The 9,602-nt window shown below is 49.2% G+C and overlaps 1 protein-coding gene across 15 annotated transcripts in view, besides 1 other annotated feature; it reads right to left on the bottom strand.

Annotated features, from left to right (window-relative positions):
- Positions 1-9,602, bottom strand: part of TMCO6 (transmembrane and coiled-coil domains 6) — a 51,203-nt gene that overhangs the window by 2,748 nt on the left and 38,853 nt on the right. For 2 of the 15 annotated variants that reach the window (XM_047417354.1, XM_047417353.1), the window contains exons 1-10: positions 5,373-5,534; positions 5,134-5,246; positions 3,205-3,320; positions 2,932-3,115; positions 2,566-2,670; positions 2,314-2,399; positions 1,944-2,060; positions 1,310-1,421; positions 1,019-1,205; positions 791-885 (exon numbers count right to left, since the gene is read on the bottom strand). In XM_047417354.1, the coding sequence (XP_047273310.1) occupies positions 791-885; positions 1,019-1,205; positions 1,310-1,421; positions 1,944-2,060; positions 2,314-2,399; positions 2,566-2,670; positions 2,932-3,115; positions 3,205-3,320; positions 5,134-5,246; positions 5,373-5,457 (1,200 nt within the window). In that variant the 5' untranslated portion in view covers positions 5,458-5,534. Of the gene's footprint in view, positions 1-244; positions 413-790; positions 886-1,018; positions 1,206-1,309; positions 1,422-1,943; positions 2,079-2,313; positions 2,495-2,565; positions 2,671-2,931; positions 3,116-3,204; positions 3,321-5,120; positions 5,247-5,372; positions 5,535-9,602 lie in introns of those variants that run through there. The other 13 variants (XM_011537663.3, XM_017009618.2, NM_001300980.2 and 10 more) reach the window with 12 other exon arrangements.
- Positions 5,473-5,722: a silencer, noted in NCBI's record as "silent region_16452". NCBI's record gives its function as "represses an Ori minimal core promoter by ATAC-STARR-seq in GM12878 lymphoblastoid cells {active_cell/tissue: GM12878}" and the evidence as "EXISTENCE:reporter gene assay evidence [ECO:0000049][PMID:35858748]".

Here is a 9,602-nt window from a genome sequence, read left to right as displayed (position 1 = left end):
CTAGGGGCAGGGAAGAAAATTCAACACACCTGGTCTCTGTGTCCTAAGACTCAATTCCCACAGCCTCATGGGTCAGCCTACTCCAGAGGGTGCATTCCCCAACAAGAGGATGAAGTTTCTGACATGGAACCTATATAGGTTAGCCAGGCCCAGAGAAACAACTATAGTTAGGACTGGATGGGAAGGGAGCCACTGTGTGGCTTCAGAACAGGGGTGACTGAGGATGTGGGCCAGAAACCTATACCTCTGGCTGATACAGGAACAGCAGATGCAGCAGCTCCAAACTCTGGCCTACTACTTCAGTGTCAGAAAAGGCTAGTGTGTGCAGCAAGGCGGGAAGCAGGGGCCCTGGCCACAGCCGCTGGCAGTAAGCAGGACCCTTTTCTGCAACATTGCACAGAACTGTGAGCACCTGCAGATAGACACATATATAGTCTACAAAGAATGAAACACAAAGATCATAACAATAGCTAAAATATATGACATGGTGACCACATGCCCAGGCACCATGCCAAGCTCTTCTACATACATGTTCTCATACTCCTACAACTACCCTATGATGCAAGATTATCCTCAGTTATAAGTGAGGAGACTGAAGCTTAAGGTGGTTAGTTGATTTGTCCAAGGATAAATAATCCAGTTTAAGGGACACACACCTAGATTGGTTGGGCCCTGAGGCCACACACCACCACCTGCTGGCTCTCAACTAAGGGTACATCTGAGGGCTCAGGACTGCTGTCCCATACAATCCGACTACCAGATCTTGGATTCAAGTAACCCCAATACATACCATTACGCTCACCACGTTAGATACTGGCAACAGCTGTAAGAGAGGCTCAATCAGATCCAGGGAGAGCAAGGAGGTACAGAAACTAGGACTGTTTGCTGGAAGAGAAGTACCAGGGTGAAAAACTGCTTTCCCCCACCACCCCTGTCAATACTACCCACCTCAGCCTAGGCCATGAGGAAATATCCCCATTATCCAAATGTCCAGGCCTGGGCAGATTATGGTGCGTACCAGTGAGGTTGTTGAGGAGCCAAAGGCCCTCAGGGAGCAGACTGGGCTGTTTCTGGAAAAAGAACTGCAGAAGGATAAATAAGGCTGCCACAACACGCTCATCTCTGAGCTGCATTTGCCCTCCCACAGTCTCCACTGCTGCCTCAGTTAGCAGGTTGCTTAGACATCGAAGCACGGGGCATGCCAGCTGCAAAGACAAATTGGGGGGTCAGGTGTAAGAAGGAAGAGGTTACCTGCATTCCAGAGTATCAAGAAACATCTCCCAGAATTTCACCTGACATCTTCACCTACCAGCTCCAGTCCTGCATCCTCGGTTTTCTGGACAGCCCCAGCCAAGTCCAACAGCAGCAACCCCAGAGTAGACAGAGCCCCATGGCCAATGAGCAGAGGATTGCTGACCTGGCTGGGCAACAGGAAGCAAGCAGTCCCTAGGTATATAGTCAATTCCACCTTTAAGAAGAGAAGCAGTTGCCTAGGCGTGGTGGCTTATGCCTGTAATCCCAGCACTTTGGGAGGCTGAGGTGGGTGGATCACCTGAGGTCAGGAGTTTGAGACCAGCCTGGCCAACATGGCGAAACTCCGTCTCTATTAGAAATACAAAAATTAGCCGGGCATAGTGGCACGCATCTGTAGTCTCAGCTACTCAGGAGGCTGAGGCAGGAGAATCGCTTGAACCCGGGAGGCAGAGGTTGCAGTGAGCTGAGATCGCACCACTGTACTCCATCCAGCCTGGGTGACAGAGTGAGACTGTCTCAAAAAAAAAGAGAAACAGCTAAGGTCTGTGGGTCTCCTGGGCTCCAAAAAGAGAAGACAGTGGAGGGAGGAAAACTCACTATAGCAATTCCAGACACAAGTTCAAAGAGTTGAATGTCATGGAAGGGAGCCCCAGGGAAGATCTGTGGTACTTTCCCAATTGCCCTGTTACCTGCAGATGATGTAATGAAGGCACCAGGCAAACTCCACAGCGACCCCAGGGTTGAGCTTTGGGCCAGGTTGCAACATTTGTAGCATGTGCTGAGGGAGAGTGGAGGCCAAGATGGAGCTGCTGGCAGAAGCAGGGCTGTAAGTAGGAACCACGAAGATGCCAGTGGTTCTTACCAAACCCTGATAGCAGGTGGGAGAGTGTCCAAACCCAAAGCCCTGCCCAGATGGGAAAGTGTCCAAACCCAAAGCCCTTCCTAGCCAGACACATGAATTTAAAATGTGCAACAGCTTTGGAAATCATTCAGGCATCCGGGAGCTATACTACTGAGTGGGTCACCTCTGGCTGCACATCTAAAGACAATTTTACTCACGGAATGATCTTCTCTGGAGCTTCCTCAGCCTGTAGAAGCTGGGACAAGGCATATCCGAGAGCTTCCAGCACAGCCACATGGGGGGACTGGAAGTAGACAGGGTAAGGATCTGACTGGAAGCTGGGTCATCAGGTCTTCAGAGACTTTCAGCCCCTTGGCACAGGGCAGAGGCTGGAGCTACCTAACCAAAGTAGATGGAGCATGTGGGGAGGAGCAAAGGAAGGGTTGCCCAGGGAGGAAGAAAGGAGTCACCTGGATGCAGGCAGCCAAGGCTGGAACAATGCCCTGTGGCAGGAGCTGCCTTCTCACAGCCTCACTCTCCACGATCAGGTTACCCAGTGTATACAGACACAGCTCCTGAGAACAGGCAACAAAAGCACTGGGCTTGGCCTGTTTCATGCCAGGCTGCGTGTGGGGAGATGGGGAGGGGAGGTGATGGGGACGCTGGAGCAGCTATCCTTGCGGCTCACAAGAGGGTGGGGAGATGATGGGTGTAGCCATGGCTGTAGGCATAAGGGCAAACATGTTTTCTTCCTCCTACCTGCCAGCTCAAACTGGTCCCAAAAGCACAATTTTAAAATCTAAACCAAGAACAAGATAGGAAGGGACAGGGCTTACTATGAAGTCTGAGCTGTGACTGGAGAGGTAGGTGAGGAGGTAAGAAGTGGCTGGCAGGCAGGCCTCAGCAACAGTGGACTGCTCGGAGTGAGAGAGCTCATGCAGGCACCGAGCCGCCTCAAGCTGCAGCAGGGCCTGGTTGCTGGTCAGGAGCCCGACCAGGGTCCGCATGCTGCCCTCCAGCCTATGTGAGTGAGTACCAGAGCCCTGCTTAGCTTGTGGTCCATCCCTCAGAGCCCCAACTCCTCCCTCCACCACACCATCCACACTGACCGGATGAAGGTTTGCTGTGTTTCAGGGTGCTGCAAGCCTCGACGAAGGCTGACCAGAGCCCCCTCTCTCTCCTTTTCCTCTGTCCCCCGCTGGGCTTGCCGCAGGAACTGCTGCACCTGGAGTTCAGGGCAGGGAAAGGAGAACACACGGTTCACAGAAAGCAAGTCCTAAGTCTCTCTCTGCCCACTTCACCTGTGAGCCTTCCAATATCACACCTTCAGAACTTGTCATTCACACTAATGCAACTAATAAGCATCTACCTTGCAGTGGAGTGGACAGAGAATCAGAACTGAGTTCTAATACCATACCTGCCACTTACTCCATATGGGACCTGAACCTAAGTTTCCTCACCTGAAAATGAGAATAACAATATCTATCCTGCCTTCATACAGGGTTCTTTCAAGGATATTTAAACCTCTCAGCCTGGCAAAACCTACTCCTCTAGCCATTCTCCCCATGCAACCTACACTCTAACAACAACCAGCCTAACATGAGCTTTTTCTTTTTCTTTTTTTTACATTTCCGAGCTTTTGCACATGCTATTTCTTCTGCCTGGATACCCTCTCCAGCTTCCCACTCTCTTCAGGTTTCTGCTCCTCATTTCCTCTGGGAAGTTAGCTCTTTTTGAGAGACTTAGGAGTTTCTCTTGTTCCTCATGTTTCCTTCCCTTGTGACATCTGTCTTCTTCACCGGGCTGTGAGCACCTCAAAGAAAAGGACTCTATCCTTTCATCTTTGTGTACCTCAGTGACCAGCACAGTGTCCTGGCATAAAGTAAGCATACAATGGAATAGTATGACCTAGGAATAAGTTGATAATATATATGTCAACATGGTATGTACGGTAAACTATGTACGTAAACATAATACAAATACAGGGGATACTCAATGCTTACTGAATAAATCCTTTCATTCACTCATTCAATAAACACTGAGTACTTAACTATATGCCAGATAATGTGCAGGCAACCGGGTTTTCAATGACAACACAGGATCTAGGTTTTCCTGCAATTAAAGTCTAGTTGGAGAAATAACAATAGACAAACCATTAGATAATGATTAATATTCTACAAGAAACAAGTAGGTGGCCGGGCACAGTGGCTCACGCCTGTAATCCCAGCACTTTGGGAGGCCAAGGCGGGTGGATCATGAGGCCAGGTGTTCCAGACCAGCCTGACAAACATGATGAAACCCCGCCTCTACTTAAAATACAAAAATTAGTGGTGGCGCGCGCCTGTAATCCCTGCTACTCGGGAGGCTGAGGCAGGAGAATCGCTTGAACCCGGGAGGCGGATGTTGCAGTGAGCCGAGATCATGCCACTGCACTCCAGCCTGGCGACAGAGCGAGAGTCTCAAAAAAAAAAAAAGAAAAGAAAAGAAAAAAAATAGGCTCTCAAGACAGAATACCAAAAGAAACGAACGTTAGACGTAGCGAATGCCAAGGGCTTGAGACACAAATCCGATATATCGTTGCAGGAACTAAAAAGAGGACGGTGGGTAGGATGAGAAAACTGATAAAATTTGAGTTAGGAAGAGGCTAGACCATGCTATGCTTTGCAAGGCACAGGAAAGATTTTGGTCTCCACGTGTTTTTAAAGGACGTAGTGACGGTGACAAGCATAGATGCAGGGTGACCTTTTAGGAGACTGCAGTAGTATCCAGAGAGGAGGTGGTGGTGGCAGCTTCGATGGTGAGGCATGTAAAGACTCCAAAGCTCTTCAGGAGGTAAACAACTAGGACTTGATGATGGATCGATATGGGGTTGTGGGTCAAAGAGTTGTGCAGGATGATTCCCCTGTTTCTGGCTTGACCCACTGGATGCGTGGAAGTGTAGAGTGGATTGCGTTCAGGTTTGGGGCAGACCTCGAGTACTCCCGGGAGTCTGGCGCCAGCGGGCGTGGACTCCAGCGCACCCTACCTTGCCCCCTCACCTCGGTTTCCCCGAGGATCGCAGCCACACATCCCTCTCCAGCTTCCTCTGGGGCGTCGTTTCTCAGCAGCCTCTTGCTGACCAGCTGCTGCTCCCTCCGCGCCTTCCGCAGTGCTGGGGGCAGAGGAGCCGGCTGAGCGTGGGAAGGACGACCACAACCCAGAACCCGCGGCTCCGAGCCTGGGGTCTCAACTTATCCCCGACCGCCATATACCCCCGCGCTCCCTCGGCCGCCCACACCTGCCTCCCGCTCCCGCCGGCGGCGCCGTAGCTCCTCCACCCCGCAGACCGTGGGCCTGAGGCGGCCCTGCCGTCGGCTCCACATGGTGGAGCAGGAGGAGGAAAGCCGAAGGAAACAGCAGCCACAACGCTCCCAGGGGCGTAGAAGATGGCACCGACTGCGCAGCCTCAGCACAGGGCGGGAACAGGCGGGGAGGGCGCGAGGAGCGGGGTGGGTGCTGGGTGAGGGCGGGGCTCGGCGAGTGGACGCCTCGCGGGGACGGTGGGCGGGGCGAGGGCTAGAGACGCTGCACCACTAGACCAGAGCCAGAGGCGTCGCTCTGCCTCTGATTGATTTCCTGTCTTACCAATTCTAGGAAAAAAAGTCTCTCATCCCTGACCTCGAGTGACCCAAGCCAGCAGTGTCACAATCTACTCAGCAAACACAACTTCCCCACCCACAATACGCTCTAGATGAAAGTTCAAAACAATCCCGAACTGCGGGAAGCGCCATGATGCCGTTTCACTATTAATGCGGATCCCACTGATGAGAGCTGCCAAAAACGCTTGAAGCGTCATTGAATTGTCAACGAAAAGAGTCCAACTCTGTAAAATATTTGAAGAGACTTATTCTGAGCCAAATATGAGTGACCATGGCCCTTGACACAGCCCTCAGGAGGTCCTGAGAACATGTGCCCAAGGTGGTCCGGTACAGCTTGGTTTTACATATTTTAGGGAGATATGAGACTTCAGTTCATTCAAGAAATACACTGGTTGGGCCGGGCCTGGTGGCTCATGCCTGTAATCCCAGCACTTTGGGAGGCCTGGGCGGGTGGATCAGCTGAGGTCAGGAATTTGAGACCAGCCTGGCCAACATGGTGAAACCCCATCTTTACTAAAAATACAAAAATTAGCCGGGAGTAGTGGTGGGTGCCTGTAATCCCAGCTACTCGGGAGCCTGAGGCAGGAGAATCGTTTGAACCCGGGAGGCGGAGATTGCAGTGGGCCGAGATCGCGCCCCATTGCCTGGGGTACAAGAGCGAAACTCCGTCTCAAAAAAAAAAAAAAGAAAGAAAGAAAGAAAGAAATCTGGGATATGATGAGGTTTCTCTTCAAATAATTAGATCAATCTTTTATTCTTTAATTCATAGTACTCCCCCCCACACACACTTTTGTTTTCCTTTTTCTCCTTTTTGCCTTCGTTAGATGCCGAGGCACGCCACAGTACAAGACGTTATCAGTACCAGACGTTATCAGTACCAGCTCACATTCCTTTCATTATTTGGAAAGAGGACTAACTTTCTAGTTCATTACAGGCACCCCTTCCCCTTTCCTCTCCACTTTCTTTTACGTGCCCACATTACCTAAAAAAATCAAATGTTTAGCCAACCGGGATTAGTTCAGATTGTATGACCCGACCCCGGCCAATGGGGAAAGGGTACAGGGGCAGGACTTGCGTCAGGAATAAAGGCTCTCGTGCCCCTTTGTTCAGGTGTGCTCTCATGGCGACTGGCCAAGCAGACACCCCTCTGAGCAGAAGTAAAATTGCTTTGCTAATAATCCTTTGTTCGAGTGTTCAATTTCCCTTAGGATTTTGAGCGTTATTCCTAAGAGAAAGAAAAGAAAGAAAGGAAGGAAGAAAGAAAGAAAGAAAGAAAGGGAGAAAAGAAAGAAAGAAAAGAAAAGAGGAAAGGAGGAAGGGAAGAGAGGGGAGGGGGAAAGAGAGAAAGACATTGGTTTGTGGGACAACAGAAAGGCGGGACAACTCGAAGTGGGGCGGTGGGGGGCTTCCAGCTTATAGGTAGATTTTAAATTTTTCTGGTTGACAATTGGTTGAGTTTCTCTAAAGACCTGAAATCAATAGAAAGGAATGTCTGGGTTAAGATAAAGGATTGTGGAGACCCAAGTTCTTATTTGCAGAGGAAACCTTCAAATCCTAGGCTTCAGAGAGAATGGGTTGTAAAATGTTTCTTATCAAACTTAAAGTCTGTGTTGATGTTAACGGTAGAGAGGTATAATGAGGCACGTTCAACCCCTACTTCCCATCATGGCCTGAAACGGTCACTCGGGTTTAATTTTGAAAGAGCCCTGGCTGAGGAGGAAGTCCATTCAGATGGTTGTGGGGGGCGGCCTTAGAATTTTATTTTTGCTTTACAGAATGTTCACCACAATGACCATTATTCTCATTTTATATGTGATGAAAATGAGAAAGATATCATTATTTCACTTCTCTGCATAAAACTGAATTCCCATAATTTTTAGGATAAAATCTTTCACCAAATGTGGAGTGCCACTAGTCTACTAGGCACTGAGGAAACACTAGTGAATAAAAAACCGTGTTCCTCACATTCAAAATTGGAATTGTGGCCGACTTAGCCCTACATGGTCTAACCCCTGCATACCTCTCCAATCTGGACTCACCTCTTCTGGGACCTTCTCTTTGTCAACAAGCCCTGTTCTTTTTCTCCTCCACCCTACTCCCACTCTTGGGGGAGGCTCTCGCACAAGCTGTTTTCTCTGCCTGCATCCTTCCCTTTTCTTTCTACCAGCATCCTTCCCTCAACACCATTCTCAACATGTCAAGTCCAGTGTCACCTACTCAGAACCATTGTACCAATGACCCAGCTTCTTCACAACCCTTTTCACAGCTATCATTAAGTTATAGTGTAATTATTTGATGTTGTCTCCTCCCAGACCCCCTTGGCAGCTCCAGAAGATTAGGGTCCCGGTGGCACCTAAGAATTTTTACAGGAAACCTCTAATTTTTAAAAAGCCATATAACTTAGGCAAAGGTTCAATTAAGTACAAATCTAGGAAAAAGGTTATTCTTAAAACCAATTTCTTTCCCTTGAACTTAATTCTACCCCTTGGAGTTAATCAATGAAGTCTGCAATCTCTTCCACAAAACAGCATGTTAAAATATCTACAGGCCATCATTCCATCCTCCATATCTTCTCTCCCAGTATCCATCCAGCCCCTGGAGAGCCATTTACTGAGTACCTGCTGTGCACCATGCTCTGGCCAGGGATAGGGCCTGGATCTTGAGCCCTTCCTCATGCAACTGTCTGGCTTCTTTTTTTAATTTTTTAATTAAAAAAAATTTATTTTCTTATTTCCCCAAGAAAAACTTTTTTATTTTTATTTTATTTATTTATTTTTTTTTTTGAGCCAGGGTCTTGCTCGGTTGCCCACGCTGCAGTGCAGTAGTGCAATCATGGCTTATCACAGCCTGGAACTCAGCCTTAAATGATCCTTTCAGCTTGGCCTCCCAAAGTGCTAGAATTACTGGCATGAGCCACTGCACCTAACCCAGGCTAGCTTCTAAGACCCACACTTGGCCCAGCAAGGTGGCTCATGCCTATAATCCCAGCACTTTGGGAGATGGAGGCAGGTGGATCACCTGAGGTCAGGAGTTCGAGACCAGCATGACCAACATGGTGAAACCCCGTCTCTACTAAAAATGCAAAATTAACCAGGTGTGGTGGCACGTGCTTGTAATCCCAGCTACTCAGGAGACTGAGGCAGGAGACTCGCTTGAACCCAGGAGGTGGAGGTTGCGATGAGCCAAGATTGCATCATTGCACTCCAGCCTGGGCAACAAGAGTGAAACTCCATCTAAAACAACAACAATAACAACAACAACAAAACCCACATGTGCTCCAGGTGGGGAAGATGAAAAAAGTTCCCAGCCAAAAGCTATATTCTGCCCAGTGTCTGCTCAGACAGCTACAGCTGCCCAAATTGCCTTTCTGTATCTACCTGTCTAGCAACACTGTTAACCCTGTAAGAACCAGCCCCATGTCCTGTCTTGTACAGGGCTGGCTGTTCCTTTCTCCAGACCATGTTCCTCCCCTCCACCCCTCTCCCCCAACAACACAAGCCTTTGGTTTCTCTTCTTTTAAGAGCCCTCTGCACTATGGACGGAAGTTCTGGGTTCATGTTTGCTCTACCCACCTCCTGGAGCACTTCAGGGACTTGTCTTTGTCATGTCTGTGTCCCAGGGCTTTCTACCAACCCTAGTACTCGGTAGACAAATGATAGACATTTGTTGAATCAAGCTGTGAGTTGGAGATCTTTGCAGAACCATCACTGCCCCTCTTAACTTGGAACTCCCCACCCAGAGTGCCTCCCCTAAGATGATGAGGTGTCAGACTTCAGTGGCCTGAGTTCTCTGAAAGCAGAGACTCTGAGAAAGAAGACTAGTCATCAAGACCACACTAAAAAGATGTGTTTCTGTGCCAAAGACTTTAC

Source organism: Homo sapiens, chromosome 5 (genome assembly GCF_000001405.40).
Source record: "Homo sapiens chromosome 5, GRCh38.p14 Primary Assembly".
In the NCBI taxonomy this organism is placed as follows: Eukaryota; Metazoa; Chordata; class Mammalia; order Primates; family Hominidae; genus Homo; species Homo sapiens.
Note: the sequence above shows the minus strand (reverse complement) of the source record. Positions and strands in the feature narration are given on the sequence as shown.